At 43.7% G+C, this 20,355-nt stretch overlaps 1 long non-coding RNA gene and 1 pseudogene across 1 annotated transcript, besides 1 other annotated feature; one reads left to right on the top strand and one right to left on the bottom strand.

Moving 5' to 3' along the window:
* Positions 1-765: 765 nt before the first annotated feature.
* Positions 766-14,828, top strand: LOC107986734 (uncharacterized). The gene is made up of 3 exons (XR_001745010.1): positions 766-805; positions 3,049-3,281; positions 14,741-14,828. It is a non-coding gene; the product is annotated as an uncharacterized LOC107986734 (long non-coding RNA).
* Positions 6,929-6,978: a silencer, noted in NCBI's record as "silent region_18099". NCBI's record gives its function as "represses an Ori minimal core promoter by ATAC-STARR-seq in GM12878 lymphoblastoid cells {active_cell/tissue: GM12878}" and the evidence as "EXISTENCE:reporter gene assay evidence [ECO:0000049][PMID:35858748]".
* Positions 14,829-17,361: 2,533 nt separating the features above from the next.
* The window catches only part of SEPTIN7P3 (septin 7 pseudogene 3), a 28,603-nt pseudogene continuing 25,609 nt past the window's right edge, over positions 17,362-20,355 (bottom strand).

Here is a 20,355-nt window from a genome sequence, read left to right as displayed (position 1 = left end):
CAAATAAACTCATTAAAAATTTTCATGTGCCTCAGTATTTATTTATTTAGACAGGGTTTCACTCAGTCACCCAAGATGGAGTATAGTGGCATGATCTCAGCTCACTGCAGCCTCTGCCTCCCAGGCTCAAGCAGTCCTCCCACCTCAGCCTCCTGGGTGGGAGGAGTACCTGGTACCACAGGTGCGTGCCACCATGTCTGGTTAATTTTTGTATTTTTGTAGAGACAGGGTTTTGCTATGTCACCCAGACTGGTCTCGAACTCTTGAACTCAAGCAATCCTCCTGCCTTAGCCTCCCAAAGTACTGGGATTACAGGCATGAGCCACCGTGCCCCAGCCCTCAGTTTGTTTTTAACAAGTGGAATTGCCGGGTCAAATGATAACCCTGTGTTTACTTTTTGAAGGAACTGCCAGACTGTTTTCCAAAGTAGATCCACCATTCTACATTCCCACCAGCAGCGTGTGGAACTTTTGCTTCCTCCACATTCTCACTAACACTTGTTATCTGCTTTTTTGAGGAAAGCCATCATAGTGGATGATATGGTTTGGCTGTGTCCCCACCCACATCTCATCTTGAATTCTCATGTGTTGTGGGAGGGACCTGGTGGGAGGTAATTGAGTCATGGGGGCAGGACTTTCCCATGCTGTTCTAGTGATAGCAAATAAGTCTCACAAGATCTGATGGTATTATAAGGGGGAGTTTCCCTGCCCAATCTCTCTCTTTGCCTGCCGCCATCCACCTAAGATGTTACTTGCTCCTCCTTGCCTTCTGCCATGATTGTGAGGCCTCCCCAGTCATGTGGACTGTAAGCCATTAAACCTCTTTCTTTTGTAAATTGTCCAGTCTCAGGTATGTCTTTATCAGCAGCATGAAAATGGACTAATACAGTGGATGTAAAATAGTATCTCATTGTGGTTTTTATTAGCATTTCTTTGACGGTTGTGCTGAACCTCTTTTCATGTGGTTGTATATTTGGACAAATGTCTATTGAGATTCTTTGCCCACTTTTTAATTGAGTTTGTCTTATTGTTGAGTTTTAAGAGTTCTATATATTCTAGAATACAAGTCCCTTAACAAATATATGATTTGCAAATATTTTCTTCCATTGTGTGTGTTGTCTTTCACTTTCTGAATAGTGTCCTCTGTAGCACAGAATTTTTAATGTTGATGAATTTCTATTTATTTTTTTCTTTTGTTGTTCATACTTTTGATGTCATATCTCACAAACCATTGCCAAATTCAAGGTAATGAAGATTCACCCCTGTGTTTTCTTCTAAGAGTTTTTTATCTCTCAAATTTAGGTATTTGATCCATTTTTAGTAAATTAGGAGTCCAAGTTCATTCTTCTGCATGTGGATATCTAGTCCCAGCACCATTTGTTGAAAAGACTCTTCTTTCTCTGATTGAATTATTTTGGCACTTTTGTTGGACATCAGTTGACTGTAAATGTAAGAATTTCTGGATGCTTGGTTCTATTCTACTGATCTATATGTCTATCTTAATGCCAGTACCACACTGTCTTGATTACTGTAGATTTATAGGTTTTGAAATCAGAAGTTTGAGTCCTCCAATTTTGTTCTTCTTTTTCTGTATCATTTTGGCTATTCTAGGTCTTTTGAGTTTCTATGTGAATATTAGAATTAATTTGCCCATTTTTGCAAAGAAGCCAGCTGGGGGGCAGGGGGTGGTTGTGTGTGCTGATAGGGATTCTGTTAAATCTGTAGATCAGTTTGGGGAGTATTGCCATCTTAACAATATTCGGTCTTCTGATCCATGAACATGAGATGTCTGTCCATCTTTTTACATTGTCTAACATTTTTCAACAGTGTTTTGTAGTTTATAGAGTATAAGTTTTGTACTTCTTTTATTAACTTCCTAAGTATTTTATTCTTTTTTATTATATTAATAAATGGAATTGTTTTCTTAATTTCATTTTTGGATTGTTCGTTGCCAGTGTATAGAAATACAATTGATTTGGCTGGGCGCGGTGGCTCACACTTGTAATCCCAACACTTTGGGGGGCTGAGGCAGGTGGATCACCTGAGGTCAGGAGTTCAAGACCAGCCTGACCAACATGGTGAAACCCTGTCTCTACTAAAAATACAAAAATTAGCCGGGTGTGGTGGCGGGTGCCTGTAGACCCAGCTACATGGGAGGCTGAGACAGGAGAATGGCGTGAACCCGGGAGGCGGAGCTTGCAGTGAGCGGAGATCATGCCACTGTACTCCAGCCTGGGTGACAGAGCAAGGATTCGTCTCAAAAATAAAAATAAAAAGAAATACAATTGATTTGTATATAAATTGTCATTGTATACTGCAATTTTGCCCAACTTGGTTACTAGTTCTAATAGTTTTTTCATGGATTCCTTAGGATTTTCTATATATAAGATCATATCATCTGCAAATACAGTTTTTCTTCATCTTTTACTATCTGGATGCCTTTTATTTCATTTTCTTATACCCTAAATCTTAAAAAATAAATCTTAATGTTCATTTTTTGTTTGCTTAAAGCAAAGTTCAGTATCAATTATATCTCAATAAAGCTGTTTTTAAGGAAACATTTAAACTTCCCTTAAAACCATCACATTTGTGTGCGGGGGAAGGTGGGAGGGAAGCTGTTAATATGTTGGCCCATTTCCTTCTAAGCTTTTTTTTTCTAGGTATATTTGGATGCTTAGCCATAAATATAATTGGACTCATATTGTATAGATATTTTAGTCCTGTTCTCAGGAACTCAATGCACAGTCAAGCCGTTCTCAGGATTAAGAGGCTTTATGAACATTAAAAACAAAATCTTAGCCTTATTGAATGACGGTGTCCTGGAACAGGAGGCGGTGGAGAGACTGAGTGCAGCTACACACAGAGCACCCCTACTCCTGCGGGGTAGGGGGGTTGTCCCATGGCCTCGGGGACAGCACAGCACCCAAGTCCCTGCATCTCTCTCGTAGGAGAAAATGAAGGTCACACAGGCCGCCTGGATTTCATGGGCTCTTTTAAATGTCTAAATACCTCTAAATGTCTGGTTTTTCTGCTATTCTTTAATCCTTAGATAAGGGTTCAGAGCCTGTGCTTCCAAGATGACTTTGGGACCAGGGTGTATGAGGAGGTAGGAAGGCGTGGCCCCTGCACGAGGCCTGGCTGGGAAACGCCGCTGTGATCACATCGTTCATCACTCACTGCTGACCACCTGACAGTTTTCCAGGACCAAGCCTCCTGCACTGTGTGATTCTGGGAACATCTCCTCTGGCTCACAAGGTCTGAAAAGCAAACCAGTCAGCTATGGTATGGAAAACAGTTTTTACTGCCAGAGTTCTTCCCAGCAGGTTCTTATGTGACTTGTTTGTGCTTCAGCTTGGCCCTAATCAGTTCATGTTCTGGGCAAAGGCACTCGCTAAATATTATTTCAGCAGATGTAACATTTACATTTTCCAATGTCAATAAGAAGGCCTCAAAAGCAGGATTTTTTGTAGGGGCAAAATATTACATTGTCTGATTAGATCATAATAGATTTAACCAGTTCCTCCAAAAAGAGACTGGAATCTCTTTGATGGCCACAAGCACTGAGTTCTTAATGTACTTCCTTGGATAAGGCTGTGTGTCACCAGCAATGGTGGCCAGCACTAAAGCTATCCTCCATCTTTCCAACAAGGACAATTCACAGACAAGCCCCATCACTTAAAGACATGGCCAGGGCTTCCCAGGGTGAGGTCTGGCCCTCAATTCTGGTTCTTCTATAAAATTCACAAAGCCTGATAGTGTTTGGCCACAGAAAAAGAGAGAGTTTTCCCAGTGGGACATGTTAGGGTTGAACACTTTAAAGAGAGCAATTTACTTCTAATATCAATTCTGAAGGAAAGCAGTAAGGAAATTCCTGTCAGACCTAGGCTGTTTGTATTTACAGGAACCTACGCGATCGCCAGGCGACCCACACAAATCCATCCAGGTGCCAGGGTGTGAGTCAACACTGGTAACTCAACAGGGACAGAAGGGCAGACACAGGCCTGGAAATCGCTCCATGTGCCTAACAAATTCCCCACAGCCTCATGGCATTTCTTGTAGGTTTCATGGCATCTGGAGAGACCCTCTGGGGCTTCTGCCCACCATTTTTGCCTGGCTGTTACCTCTGTGGGCCATGTCTGCAGAGAACTGTGCTTGTCATCCTCCCAGCCTCGGAACACTATCATCACTGACAGGGCACGTGACCCCTCTTCTGGCTTTTTTTTTTTGCTTAAGATTCCTTTTGCTCCCATACCCATCTCCTCACCAGTATGTTTGAGATGTATCCCTGGATGTGTACCTGGCTGTCTGGTGTCACTGTGTGTATATTTTATATTTGCATTTTACTCGGCTTTAGTCCTGGCTCATTCTACTTCTTACTTGCTGCTGCTGCTGCTGCTGTGTGTGTGTGTGTGTGTGTGTGTGTGTGTGTGTGTGTGTATAGTTTGTGACTCCTCAGGCCTCTGCCCATTTTATGTCAAGAACATCAAAACCACATATGAAAATCACTTGAGCAGTTTTGTCTGGCACTGACTTGCTGAGATCCCAAGACCTAGGGCAGTGTTATCCATGTTCTTCCCAAGGGGCCAGTCATGTCAAATGTGTTGTCCTCTGGTTTATTTTGAACGGATTCCTTCTCCTACCCACTAAGACTGGCACGTATTTAAAATCAGGCACATGAGGACTCCCCCTATGGATACCACAAGAACCTTGGGTGGGGGCTGAGGTTACACAGCCCTGAAAAGGTCCTCCAGTGGTCCAGATCCGGGGTCCCAGGTCAGGGCAGCTCCCCACATCTGGCAGGAAAGTTGCACGCCACCTGGGCAGCTCTGCAGCCTCAGCCACAGCACTCACTCCTGAGCCTCCCCTCTGCATCTGGCGGGGCAGTGCCAAGGAGAAGGGCTCCAGGCCACCCCCGCCCTCCCCACTGGGCCTGCGCAGGCCCCACAGTATGCAACAGCTGACCTCTCCTCAGAGGCCATGCCGAAGGGAAGGCTGGCTCTCTCCAGTCCTCAGGAGACAGATGACAGCCTCAGGCCACCACCCCTTTTCGAGTCTCCACAACACAAGGCATCCGTTCTGCCTCTTTTTGCCATGACAGGGCATCAGCCTTAAAACCACAAGGCCATCTTCATTCCTACTTTTGGCTATAAGTGGGGCTGGAACAGGGGTCAAGACCTTGAACAGGAAAGTCTGGCTCTTTTCCTGGAAGAAGGAAAATACCTTTCATTTTTCCCTAATAAACCACAAACCCACTCTTCTGCCCCCACCCAACAAGGATTACCAGAAGCACTTAAACAAAGACCCCTGAACTAAACAACCAAAATTTCACAGTCGCTCACCCAGCAACCTGCCACACTAACATTTACTGAGCTTATACTGCATCCTACATGCTCTGCTAGGCGCTTGGTAGATATAATCTCATTTTATCTTCACCACAATGCCATGAGGTAGAGACAATCATCCGTGTTCTCCAAATAAGAAATTTGACTCTTAAAAAAACAAGTTAGGGAACTTTCTCAGGATCGAGTGAGAACTGGCACCTACCTGATGCACATGGTTGAGATTCATATAAATTATCTGGGCGGAATAGACTTTTAGAACCTGATGCCCTATTAGAAAGTCGCATCTACCTGCAAAGTCTTCCTCTCAGTAAGCAAGTATGGCCTCACTGGATTATTCCAGCATGCATTGCCTGCCCCTCCCAGGGGATGTGCTCAAAACCTGGCTCTAGGAATTCATCCTGTGGTTGTCTTGTCCTGTGCTGGCCTCACTGCCTTCCTCAGACTGCACAGACCCAAGCTCTTTCAGAAAATGTTGTCAGGTTGGCCACGCAGAAATTCATATCCTTCTTCTCCCTCCTCTCACTTTGAGAGATTGTTGCTTTTTAGCGATAGAAACTTCTAGTAAAGGGAAGGCCCTAGCAGTGGACATTCAGCAGTGGATAGCCACAGACTGTCCCCCACCCCTGCACTTGAGAGGCTCCCAGGTGCTGCTGAGGTCTCCTGCAGGCCAGGTTTGATGACTTTGACTCTCTGCGGGTCTCACTTCTTTTGAGGACAAACTAGCTAGTGACTGTTCCGGGCCATCTGTGGCCATGGAAGCCAGAGCATCACGCATCTGCTGCATCTTTCCATCTACGGAAAATTAATTCCAAAAAACAGACTTTTTTTTTTTTAAGACCGAGTCTCACTCTATCACCCAGGCTGGAATGCAGTGGCACAATCCTGGCTCACTGCAACCTCCGCCTCCTGGGTTCAAGAGATTCTCGTGCCTCAACCTCCTGGGTAGCTGGGATTACAGGTGCGTGCCACCACGCCAGGCTAATTTTTGTATTTTTAGTAGAGACAGGGTTTCACCATGTTGGCAAGGCTGGTCTCAAACTCCTGACCTCAGTGATCCTCTCGCCTTGGCCTCCCAAAGTGCTGGGATTACAGGCCTGAGCCACCGTGCCCAGCCTGAAAAAAAAAAAACGGACTCTTTATGAATCCATTTGTAAAGGCATAACGTTGGTACATTTCTTTGCCACAGGGATGCCAATGACTAGGCCAGCCACCTTGAACATGGGAAAAGTGTTTCACATCAATGGCACGAGAGATCTTTGAGCAGTAGGTGGGGAAGACACCATTTCAATCTGATAAGTAGAGAAACTGTGGCAAAGAGAGGAGGGAAAACTTGCTTTTCTCATCAGAGCTGGAGAGCAGAACCTGGTCTCACGATTTTTTCCCCAGATGAGGTTTGTCCACCTGGTACTGCAAAGACCTGCACCAAGTTCATGACCCTCAAAACGTCTTTTACTTCTTAAAATCCAAAAACGTTGATCTAGCCCCAGGAGTTTACTGCCTCTGCAGCTGCTGAAGCCAGGGCTCCCCTGTGGGAAGGGCCTGATGCTGGGGCTGCACTGCCTCCTGGTGCCCACTGGGAGTTATGTCCCCAGCTCTCCCACCTGATAGGGGAGTCGGGGCCCATACTTGGCTTCTTCTGCCTCATCTTCCTCACATACACACTCCTCTAAATGGACAGAAGGCGACAGGGCACAGGGAGGGGCCTCAAAGGCCTCCACTCACACCCCCATTCCCATAACCAGACCACCTACCAGACAGTGTTGACATATTTTTATTAATTTATTTATATTTTTTGAGAGATAGGGTCTTGCCCAGGCTGGAGTTGAATTGCTGGGCTCAAGCCATCCGCCTGTCCCAGCCTCCTGAGTAGCTGGGACCAACAGGCTGTCCATGTGGTCAAAATAAGCATGGTGAGCCCAGTGTGTGCAGTCACAACCCATGGAGGTCCTTCCATGAGTGTCTGTCAAACCCAAGCCGACACTGCCTTTCTCCAGAGAGGTCCCACATCCATCAAGGACATGATGAGGTCACTGGGGACTCTTAATCCAGTGCTCCACTTCCAATGGCCAGGCTGATGTTCTGAGGACAGGCCTGTATCTTCCCCCTCTGTAGCCATCAGGGAGTTGATGCCGTCTGTGGTCCTTGACCACTATCCAAAATGGGAACCCCTAGGGTGATCTGTCATCCCCTGTGCTTCTCCCTGGCCCAGTCCCACCCCTCCCCAGCATTCCCATCTGTGCCCTGCACTCTGCCCCGCACCCCATCCCACAGTCAGCAAACTCCAGACTGAAGGGCTCTCCCACCTTCTCCTCTCTCCAGCTCTTCTCATGCCCTGGCCTCCCTGTGATGTTCAGGCCCTGGTGAGAGTAAGTGAGAAGCTGGAGAAGGGACTGACCCGCATGCAGGCTGGCCAGGGCCAGAACAACATGTATAGGGGCTGTCAGCCCTGCAAGATGAGCGCCACCACCACCCACCTATCCAATTCAAAAGAAAAACCAGCTTAAACTCTACACAGGTGCAATGAAGGTCAACAAATCCTGGTTTCCCATAAGTGATTTGATGTCTTTTTCTAAAACAGTATCAAACTTCAAGCTTTTTGCCTCCCAAAGCTTTAGCAACCTAAGCGGCATCTGATGTGCCTGTTGGGCAATGCACACATCTGAGGAGGTGGGAGGTGAGGCCAAGCGTGGGGACCTGGGGCCTGGTGCCCTGAGGTGAGGACAGGAGTGGGTGAGGACCAGTGGTGGGAGAGGAGAGTGAGCTTGTGCTTTCAGAGGGACAGGGCACAGGCAGGGGCTGCAGTGAAGCAGGAGAAGTTCCTGGAGATGAGGGGACCACGTTGGCCTGACTCCTGCCCCCACCTGCTAAGGAGGAGAGAGGGGTCTCTGGGAAGCTACCAGAGTCTCCCTCTTGTTGTGCTGACCTGGGCAGGGAACAGACAGGATGGGATTCTAGAATAGTCCCGTCACTCCCTGACTTGGGGAAGCTTGGGACCAGCACCCTAAGGCCCAGACCAGGCCCAGGCCAAAGAAAGCACAGGGAGAAGAATGAGGAAGTTGATGAGTAACCTATGGTGTTCCCAGGGATGTGAGGGGGTGTGAGGGTGCAGCCCCTCCAGGCCCAGGCGCCTGCTGGCTGCTCAGAGGGACGCTGTGCCTCACTGGTCCTGCTGGGTTTGCGATGGGCTCAAATCCTGTGCCTTCCATTTGCATGACTCCAGTTAAGTCATTCAATTGCCCCTGGCCTAAAAGAGGTGAATGGGAGGTAGAGGAGTAAACGCAATGGGTTTTCACTATTTTTTAAATTATGGGAAACAATATATTATATAAAATTTGCCATGTAACCAATGTTTAACTTACAATTCAGTAGCAGGCATGACATCTCCCCAAACAGAAATTCTGTACCTATTAAGCAATAACTTTCTATTTTCCTCTCCCTCCAGCCCCAGGTAAGCCATAACCTACTTTCTGTCCCTGTGAATGTGCCTATTCTAGATATTTCATTGTGAACTCATGCAGTATTTGTCCTTTCGTGTCTGGCTTCTTTCACTTTTAGTTAAGTTTTTCCCAGTTCACCCACCTGGCAGCACGCATCAGACTCACATTTTTTAAGGCTAAAGAGCATTCCATAGCAGGGAATACCACGTTTGGCTTACCATTCAGCCTGTTAACGTTTGTTCGCGGGCCCTGGGGAACAGTGCCGTACTGCCCCTCCATCCGCTGGGTCCTTGCCTTACTCTTCGGGGACTGCGGGCCACGGGGAGATTCTATGCTTAACCCCTGGGGGAAGCACACTCTGTGGGTGCTTTCTTCATGCTGGGGTGTAACGTTCTGTTTCAGGCGTCTGTTGCTTTTGTAACATTCTTAAACCTCTTCCCTAAATAGAGAAAGAGACTAGACGGCCCTGGAGTATTTCTGAAACAAAATAAAATCCCACTGCTGAATGGCGTGGGTCGCAGGGTCGCGCTCCAAAAGCCCCCTGGGGGAGCCCACTCCTCGCGACCCGCAAGGAGGTGCTGCCACCTTCTGTGGCAACGGCCTCGGCCGCTGCTGACCCTCGGAGGGTGGCCCCATGGGTTCCAGCCCCCGGCGACCCTAAGAGACCAGAGGCCCCACGGAGAAGGGACCCACAGGCGCGGGGCTAGGGGGCGGCTACGGAATCCTAGGGTCCACCCGGAGGTGGCCAGCGCGGGCGGGGGACACGTAGAGCCCAGGCTGGGGTCCAGTGCCACTTAGGACGTGGGGACGGAAGCCTGAGGGTTTGAGTCTTTACTGGGCCCTCGGAAGGGAACACTGATTTTGACCACGCTTGATTTTCTGCAGACTGTGACCCTGCGCTAAAAAGCGTCCCTCTCATGATGCTTCGTGCCTGTTTCTCTGAGGCCACGCGGTCCTGGAGGGCAGAAGCGTAGTGTATGTGCGTGTCTGGTGCAGAGTGGGCACCTGCACCCATGCCCCCAGTGACCTCGAGCTCAGAGGAGGGAGGGATGGAAAAGAAAAGGCTGCCTCACAGAATGGAGGGAGAAGTGAACTGGGAGCCTGACCCCTAGACAGGTGTCAATCCTGCTGCTGATTCCATCCAATCAACCCACAGGGTCTATTGGCACCAAAGGGGGCCAGGCCCAGGGACACTGAGGTGACCCCCCTTTGAATTCATTTGAAGGAAAATGCAAGCACAACAGCCTGAATTGGGGACTTTGAACTTAATACAAAATGCAAAGTATATAAATATGAATACATACTGAATTATCTAAGAGCTCTATACATGTTTTTAAGTCTTATTAAAAGCTCACTAAATTTCTTCACATTTTGATCATTGTACTGTTATTACGGGAGAGTTTCTAGGAAATACACACAAATATTTAGTATAAGGCGCATCAAGGCTGCACATGACTCAAAAATAGTTCAGACCAAAAAGTGTTTTCAGCAACCTTTTTGTAAATTGTTTGAAATTATGCCAAAATATGAAGTGAAAAGTCCATTTAACAGTCTGTAAATGGGGAAGGGGCATTTGGCAATCTGTTGGGGGTACCAGCAGGAAGCCAGCACTGGGATGAGGGGGAGCACGTGCTGGGATGCAGGGTTTGTATACATGGCCATGGAGTAGGGGCCAGTGTAAACCTACATCCAGGTTGGGCAGCAAGGAGGGGTGGAAAGACTTGGAGTCTCATGATGGCCTGCCTGCATGTGGGGAAAAGGAGTATAGGATGACAGCAACATAGCCAAAGCCCCAGGATGGCCCACCTGTTATGCCTGGATCTGGTGCATGAGGTATGGGTGAGTCTGATTCAAAGGCCCAGGTTGGCTGGAGAACTGGCACCTCATTTATCCATTCCCTGGGGGAAGGCAGATTTGCAGGCTATCCGAGGTGCTGTGTGGCTCACAGTGGTTCTCAGTGACCACATCTGTACCACCCTCCTTACTGGAGCTGTCAAAGTTCTTCCCTGAGACTTTCCAAACTCTAAGGCAGAGGGAGAGATCCCATTCCCTTCTCTGGTCAAGAGACTATAAGGGATGTAAGGTGGCCTTTAGAGAGATCTGGTCTGAGTGGGGAAGAGGCAGGGGAATAAAACATTCTGCATGATGCATCCAGGAAACCCATACAGAGGCTTATGAACCTAAAAATGATGCATTTGCTGGCTTTGTTCATGTTGGTACAGAAGCCTATAGAAACACTTGAATATTTAGGCAAGATATATATAGAAATATTCACTGCAGCATTATTTGTAAAAATGAACAGATGTCTATTACCCAGAAAATGGATAAAATACTGTGGCAGCCACCTTCTAGTACTCCCACTCTTGTACAGTCCCTTCACGCATTGAACAGGACTAAGCTGCATTAGCTACAGCATATTGGGAAATTATGTGTGTGACTTTCAGAGCCGGGCCATAAAAGCCATGTGGCTTATGCCTTGCTCTGTCTTGGATTACTTGCTCAGGGAGAAAGCCAGCCACCATGTCACAAGGCCACTCAAGCAGCCCTGGTGGAGAGAGGTCCATGTGGCAAGGGGCTGAGGACACTTAACATCAACTTGCCAGGCTGGGCACGGTGGCTCACGCCTGTAATCCCAGCACTTTGGGAGGCTGAGGCGGGCGGATCATGAGCTCAGGAAATCGAGACCATCCTGGCTAACACGGTGAAACCCCACCTCTACTAAAAATACAAAAAATTAGCTGGGCGCAGTGGCGGGCACCTATATTCAGGAGTTTGAGGCAGGAGAATGGCGCAAACCTGGGAGGTGGAGCTTGCAGTGAGTGGAGATCACGCCACTGAACTCCAGCCTGGGTGACAGAATAAGACTCCGTCTCAAAAAAAAAAAAAAAATGGTAAACACTAACTTGCCAGTGATGTCAGTGAGCCATCATGGAAGCAGATACCCCAGGCCCACTGAAGCCCACAGTTGACTGCAGCCTCAGCCAACATCTTTACTGCAACGCACCCTGCCAGACCACCCAGCTAAACCACTTAATTCCTAACCTGCAGAAACTAAGATAATGAATGTTACTATTACAGATTGTTGTGGTTTAAATTTTGTTGATAGGATTGAGGGGCATTTATTGTGGAAAAATGGATAACAAATACAAATGTTAGGGAATCACACAGTGAAATTTTAGCTTGCTTGTTTTTATGAAGAGGTGAAAATGGCCATGTCATAGCCTTCTCATGAGCTCTAGTTTAGAGTCTATGTGAACGCTCTGTGTTTGCACACAGCAAGTACTCCACAAATGCTTATTGCTGTGCTTTTCCAATTTTGTTTCCTTCCCTTAGACTTCAAAGTGAGTTCTCACTCCCTTGATAGGCAGGTATTTTTCCCAGTTTGAATATACTGTCTAAAACATTTGCATTTGGTGTGATTAGTTCATCAGTTCTTACGAGTTGGAGAAAAAAGCCTCCTATGTCCTTTTCAGGACACGAGCTATAATCGGGCCAATCATACCTGAATGGAGACTACAGAAGGTGAATTTTTATCAGTGGTCTCCATTCCATCTTCCAAGCACCCGACTCTTAGGGATGGGGTCTAATTAGGCACTAATGAGGTGGAGATTTGAGACAGAAAATGCCAATTTGAGTTTGTGGCACTTCTGCCCAGCAATACAAAGGTCTAAGGAAGATTTCATTTGTGTCTGGGTGAGAGAACTGTGTTCCTGAAATATTTAGTTTTGTTTTTTAACTTTATCAGGCTAAGCCAGAGATTTGTATAATCACATTGAGATTTATCCCTATGGAAAAAAAAATTCTACAGCTCCCACTACGTCCCACCGATATATTCCCTGACTTCTGAAACGCAGGGAAAACAGCTCACATTAACACCAGAGGCCATGCCAGGGTGCTCATTGCTTCACTCACCATTTGCCAAGTTGCCTAAAACTACTGGCTTATCCAAGGCACAGGGAACTTCTCTGTGCTACACTAGAGTAGAGCATATATTTAAATATGAAAGAGATCATTAAAAATTCAAAGACAACAGAATTAAATGAGGAGTAAAAAAGTTGTATGCCTTTGCCAGAACAAGTTAGTTTGGTATCCCCACACTTGGGTGAGAGCCAGCCCCTAACCCAGGGGAATCTGTGCTCTACTTACGTGCAAATCTCCCGGTGAAATGCTGCTCCCTTGCAACACACTTGGACAAAAGGGAGCTAAGCGGGGTGGCCCACCTCAAAGAGAGAACAAAGAGAACAAAAAGGAAGTTTCTTGGTAATGCCTGACCACCCTGCCTCTGCTAGCCTCCTCATCTATGCCACATCTTCACAAACCTCTGCTCTCAGAGGTGTCAGCTACTGCCTCTTCCCACCCCAAAAGGGTTTCAGAAAGCCTGAGTGGCATTCGATTTCGGCAGGTCCACAAACAGCATCTAAAACAGAGGTTCCGTGTGGCCAATAAGGCTTCAGGCTACCCTTTGGGAGCCTGGCACAGAACAAGGTCTCTTTTCACTTGACCCTCCTTTGCTAATACAAGCCTGCTTGGCTGGGTCCAGCACCCTATGGGGCAAATATTCAGGCCAAGAATAGTCTTCATTCTTCCCATGAAGCTTTCAAAGTCGTCTAAAGAACACAGGAAATTGTCAGCCCCTATTTTCTGCTGAAAATGGCTGACACTAAACTTTGAACATTCTATGGATGAATCCCAAATTACAGGAACCAAGTTTGCTTGAAAAGCAGCAAAAGTTTTTGTTAAAGATGAGAGACTTTAAAGATGATAAACCATCTCGGCATTACTTACAAAGAATGACGTATTTTATAACTCCAATTACTAACACCTTTCCTCTTTTGACCAAAGTTACCTTATTTCCATGGAATTAACTTCAAAAGACTATCTCTGTGCACAAAGAAGCAGATCCAGAGACTTATCATGGCACTATGCACACTTCCTAAAAATAAACTGTCACTAAAACTGAGAAGAAATAATACTTTTTGGTCTGTCATGACCCCAGCAGATTATCACATTCTCAAGGTCCGGACACCTTAATGTGTGCAGTCACAGTGTAATCCTCACTCCAGTCACAATGTAATCCTCACTCCAAACAGCAAAGGCATGGGGCCCATTTTATAGCTGAGGAAACATTCAGAAAAGTTACATGCCCAATTCACAGAGTTGGGGTCTAAACTGAGACAATTAGTGTGTCCGGTGCTTTCTGCTTCTCCAGGCTGCCTGGTGGCCAGCTGCCCCTCTTAATCAGGGAGCATCTGCTCTGTGCTAACAACTCCGTAGATCATGCTTCAGAAATGTGGCAGTGAGCAGACTAGGTGCTAGTAAGGCATAAGATTTACACACAGGCCCTGGTGTCACCAAGACCAGTTCAAACTCTGGTTCTGCCAGTTACCACCTATTGAATAAGCTACTAAATATTTTAAACCCTCAGTTTCCTCATCCTTTCGCAGATGAGGAAACTGAGGGTTTAAAATGTTTACTAACTTATTCAATTATTAGATAACATATTAAGTTATATTAACAGATAACTTATCCAATTGTTATCTATTAAGGATTAAATGATGATAATACATGTAACTACTTAGGTTACCATCTGGAACAGGACAGTTATGGGAAGTTGTTATAACAAAAGAGGCAGGTAAAATTCTGAATGAAGTATAAGGACTTACATTTGCAAGCTTTTAATTAGAAAGGACTTCAATTTACTGGTGTGGCAAATTTTTCTTTCAAATCAAGTAGGACACCACAGCAGTCTTCACTAGGACCTTCCTTGGTGATTCAACAGTAACTATTAACTATCCACATACTACTTAGATCGATCGATGGCCTCCAAGGTGTAGAGTAATACTTCATTGGGGCTTAGGAACTAACCTTTTTGTTTTACTCTTTCAAATTTTATTACATAATGTTCATAATAGTGTAGCAGTACATTTGTTGACACATATTTTCATTGATCAATATGTTACAGGAAGTCAGAGACTCCAAATGGAGGGGCCGGCTGAAGCCATGGCAGAAGAACGTGGATTGTGAAGATTTCTTGGACATTTATTAGTTCCCCAAATTAATACTTTTATAATTTGTTATGCCTGTCTTTACTGCAATCTCTAAACATAAACTGTAAAGATTTCATGGACACTTATCACTTCCCCAATTAATACCCTTGTGATTTCCTATGCCTGTCTTTAATCTCTTAATCCTGTCAGCTGAGGAGGATGTATATCGCCTCAGGACCCTGTAATAATTGCATTAACTGCACAAATTGTACAGCATGTGTGTTTGAGCAATATGAAATGTGGGCACCTTAAAAAAAGAACAGCATAACAGCAATTGTTCAGGGAATAAGAGAGATAACCTTAAACTCTGTCCACCAGTGAGCTGGGTGGAACAGAGCCATATTTCTCTTCTTTCAAAAGCAAATGGGAGAAATATCACCGAATTCTTTTTCTCAGCATGGAACATCCCCGAGAAAGAGAATGCGCACCTGGGGGTAGGTCTCTAAACTGGCCCCACTGGGCGTGGTCGTCTCTTATGGTCGAGACTGCAGAGGTGAGATAGACTCCAGTCTCCCATAGCGCTCCCAGGCTTATTAGGAAGACGAAATTCCTGCCGAATAAATTTTGGTCCGATGGTTGATCTCAAAACTCTGTCTCCTGATAAGATGTTATCAATGACAACAGTGCCTGAAACTTCATTAGCAATTTTAATTTTGCCTCAGTCCTGTGGTCCTGTGATCTCACCCTGCCTCCACTTGCCTTGTGATATTCTATTACCTTGTAAAGTACTTTATGTCTGTGACCCACACCTATTTGCACACTCCCTCCCCTTTTGAAACTCCCTAATAAAAACTTGCTGGTTTTTGTGGCTTGTGGGGCATCACGGAACCTACTGACATGCGATGTCTCCCCCTGACGCCCGGCTTGAAAATTTCTCTCTTTTGTACTCTGTCCCTTTATTTCTGAAGCTGGCCAATGCTTAGGGAAAATAGAAAAGAACCTACATGAATATTGGGGCAGTTTCCCCGATATCAATACATATAACTATGGACACTCAAAAATATTTTCATAAGGAAACAACATCAGGTTTGGAGGCTGTGATCTAGATAACTTTCTGAGTCAACATTTTGCTCCTGATGCATTCATGGCTATCAAGCCATCTTTCCTTTCTTCCCCTCACCTACCATATTCTGACTTCTACTCCTAGATTAATTTCTCCAAGAGGACAGAACATATTAAGATGTGGTGGGTCAGAATGTGCAGGTGGTAGTGGTGACACCCAGCTAATGAGTGTGAGAGGCATGGGTCTGTATCTCCTCAGCTTTCAAGATTACAGCCTGAGCTACACAGAAAGAAGCTCTGTGTCCATTTTATTAGCAACTTCACAACTTGCTTCTGAACCTGATAAGGAAGCAATGATATCCCATTCCACTAGGTGGCAGCAAAACTTTACCCACAAGGTGCCCAAGTGGTTCACTGGTATTATTAGTGCTAACTTGTTCAGCCCCACTTTATTAGCAGAAAGACAGTGGCTAACAGGATACTTCAATTACATAATGCCTCTGACAGTGGAGAACAGACACTGCCGTTTTGCTTTCTACAGGCTGGCCTTTCCTTAGGCCTACCTGAATTTTACATGTATTGTGAATGATCCTTTCAGAAATCCACAGACCAAATAGCAAAACGAGCCTTCTAATATACTTAAGACTGGAGTCAACAATAAAAAGACCTAGTAAAGTTATATAGATCCTACATCAGATTCAGGTGACACCCTGGGCATGCCATGGATAAAAACTTCTGAAGTTTTCATTAGGATGGTAGAATAATGAATGCGTCTTAGAAATCTGTTATTATAATATATACAATTTTGAAATAATATTTCCCAGAAGCAGTAGTACTTAATCAGTTAGGCAGGCAGTCTGTATAAATTTTTTACCTTTGCATTCTCCAAATTCAGTAGGTTGTTCTTAGCCTCCCTAAAACCAAACATTTTTGGCTAGAGGTGTTAACCCAATCTCTCAACACAAACACTGAAAAAAATAAATAAAAAACACCCAAACAACAATCTCTGATATTGACTTATAATTATTCCCTCTGCTTAGGTCATTAATTTAAAAAGTAAATAGGGTAAAACATTTCAAGATAATAAACTGGGCTACATTAATTACACTTAAATTATGTATTATGTTAAAATCTACATCATTTGATCTTGAGAAATTACACCACTCTCTTTCCAGTTAAAAAATTCAGTTTCCAGGGACTTGAGAGTATACCTAATCTGAATGAGTTAGAAACTTCTCAGAGGCCAGGCATGACGGCTCATGCTTGTAATCCCAGAACTTTGGGAGGTTGAGGTGGGTGGATCACTTGAGCTTAGGAGTTCGAGATCGGCCTGGGCCACATAATGAAACCCCATCTCTACAAAAAATACAAAAATTAGCCAGGCGTGGTGGTGCATGCCTGCAGTCCCAGCTACTCAAGGGGCTGAGGCAGAAGGACTGCTTGAGCCCAGAGGGTTGAGGCTGCAGTGAGTCGCGTTTGTGCCACTGCACTCCAGCCTGGGCAACGAAGCAAGACCCTGTCTGGAAAAAAAAAAAAAATTGTTCTCAGAAAAATAAGCATACAAATGAGAGATAGAAATGAATAGAGAGATATGGTATCTCTTAAATTAGAAAATCAGCACAAGCATATAAGAGATGTCATCATAGAGGAGGCAAATTCAAGTTGAAAAGTTTCTTCCCAAACATACTCTACTCTTGTACATCGACTGTGGAATATTGAAGCCCCCACACTCTATTACATCACTACATGGCTTATTATGTGAATTTTTTACAATACAAACAAAACATACAGAAATGCAATATATGAATACAGCTAAACGCAGAATGGTGACTTTTTTTCTCTTCAAGAGGCCATGATTCCCATTTCTAGTAAAATAAAGAGACTGCATATAGGTAGAAACAGGTTGGTCATTAGCTTTGCCTAGAAATGATTTTGCCTAGAAATGATCTATAAATGCATTTTCCCCCTGCTACTTACCATAAAGTGTAAAAAGGGAGTTAATGCAAAGTTTTCTTGTTGGTTCCTACCATATGAAAGATGCTGTATTCTATTTTAGCAGGGCCAATATATGGAAAATATCTAAATTAAATGTTATTACAAAAATGAAGCAGTAATGAGACTCTGGCTAAGGAGGGCACTAAATGAGAATAATATATATTTAAAGAATCCAAAACAAACAAACAAAAAGAGACTGTTATAAAAAAAAAAACCTCTAGGTGCACTGTAAGCATATAGGGTTTTTTTTTCCCCATGTGTATTTATAAACAATGGAAATGTCAAAAAATAGGGTCAACTGTGTTAGACTAAATTATATTATTGTATATGCTGCATTGAATGGAACCTTTGTATTATAGTTATCATAGAGAAGCACAGTTTGCATCATATTATGGCAATTTATCCTCAATGAAAACCTTCCAGAGTCCTTTTTTTTGGAATATCTTGTAAAAAATCAAACCACCAGAACATGATTGTACAACTGTAAAATGTTCTTTTGCATTAAACCAAAGATATCTGTTTAATAAAAAAAAAAAAGAAAATGTAGGAAAGCTACTTAGAGCTGTTACTTTCTAAGTACAGAACACCCTAGACAATTCGAGGCATCTTAATCTCCATCAAGAACAACAACAACAAAAATAATTTTTGTCATGCTGTTAAATCCATCATTATGGATAAAACTAGTGCAAACTGGTCAAACGGATCCAACGCTGATGTCCAAGCTGGCATATTGGCAACTAATACGTAACTGGTGGTCAATAGAGGGTTTAAAAGATCTGCCCTTTCTTCTTGTTCTTTTCCAAGGTTCTAAATGATGAAAGGAAAATAATCAAGATGAGTGACCATTTTATAAACATGATAGACAACATGATAACAACAATAGCTAACCCAATTACAACAATGTTGGGATTTTCAGATACTACTTTTTCATTTAAAGAAATTACAAGATTTAGAAGTAAACAACTAAGACAATGTTAACCTATAGTAGTATTTTCTTAGACAATCAAATATTTGACAAAATTCCAGGATAAGCAGTAAAAAATATGGCAAAATCCCACTTTAATATACAAGAACAATTCTTCCCAAATAAAACAGCACAAACTGAAAAACATCAACTGGCATCAAACAGGGTGTTCTTTTCCCCCACTGTCATTTGCATTCTGAAGTGCAACTGCTTTTACAAATCTATTTTCCTCTTCTTTGGGGAAAATGTTAACAGTAGGCTAGTGTAGTAGAACAAATGTCAAATCTGAAAATGTTTAGTAATGAGGATAAATTATAGAATCCTTATAGGAATCCCACTTTTCAGTTTTAAATGAAACTATGAAGGAAAAGAAAATCAAGGTACAAATATTGAATTTTGTATAAATTGAGAGAAAGTAACTGATTAGCTGTATTGGAAATTAAATATCTAACATTTTGTCTTAAGAATTTTATCGTAAAAACATAATTCAACACAATTAAAATGTACCCCTAAATATATAATAGATTTTGAGCAATGTTCCCTTTGTATGCCAAAATTTGAAAACAACCCTTATGTCCAATAATTGGGGGGAGGAGGTAAGAAATCCAATTCAGGTGAGTTAACTGGGGAGAATGTTATGAAGTTGCTAAATCATAATTATGAATATTAAGTCATGAAAGATGTACTGAAAAAATACTGCTAATGGACACAGACTGTATCCATCCATATAAAAATATTTATCCATGGAAACCGTTGTGTTTGGAATGCATGATAATGGGTGATGACTTTTTAAGTGTTATTCTAATGTTTTTTAAATAAGTAGGAAAACAATTCTTTAAAACATTAATACACACATTTCTTAGTAATCTGCTATTAGTTACCTTGAAGAGTTCTGTTGTTCTAAAATACGTTGTTGAGCTTCCCAGTTTGCTTTCTCATCCTCAAACTGACGACGTTTTTCCTCCAATTCTTTGTGCTGTGCTTCCAAATTCTTTTTCATTTGCTCATGGCGCCGCTGGAGCTAAATCATAGCACAATATATAAAACAAAACTATTTAAGAAACCAGAAGCAGAGGTATGTTTCATCCAGACACCCTAATGATAAGGAGTATGAGCACTATTTGAATAGCCCTGTTGTAAATTCAGAGTACTACCTGGAAAGCACGGTCAAGGACTCCTCCTATTTTAGGACCTGCCACGGAAAAGGCCAGTGACCCAAGACAATAATCTTGGGAAACAGGGGGAAAAAAAGAAGCAATAAACTTAACAATGTGTGGTACTTTATAATGGAAAATTACTATCTTATCTCCTTTTTCTTTAATCACAAATATGTTGGAGGCTGGGCAGTGATCACTGTTCTCATTGTACAGATGAGGAAATAGTTGCAGAATTTAAGTGACTTGCCCAAGACTGCTAGCCAGAAAGTGGAAGAACCAGGACTTGAACAAGCCACCCAATTCCAAGTGTAGAAAGCTAAGACAAGTGAAAAGAAAGCAGGTAGTTTAGGACCCTAAGAGCTCAAAGATGCCAGTGAAGTACTCCGATTCCTGTAAGCAGTGGTTCTCAGAC

The sequence above is a fragment of the Homo sapiens genome, chromosome 7 (genome assembly GCF_000001405.40).
Source record: "Homo sapiens chromosome 7, GRCh38.p14 Primary Assembly".
NCBI lineage: Eukaryota > Metazoa > Chordata > Mammalia > Primates > Hominidae > Homo > Homo sapiens.
The sequence above is the reverse complement of the archived record's forward strand: the minus strand, read 5'-3'. Positions and strand labels throughout refer to the sequence as shown.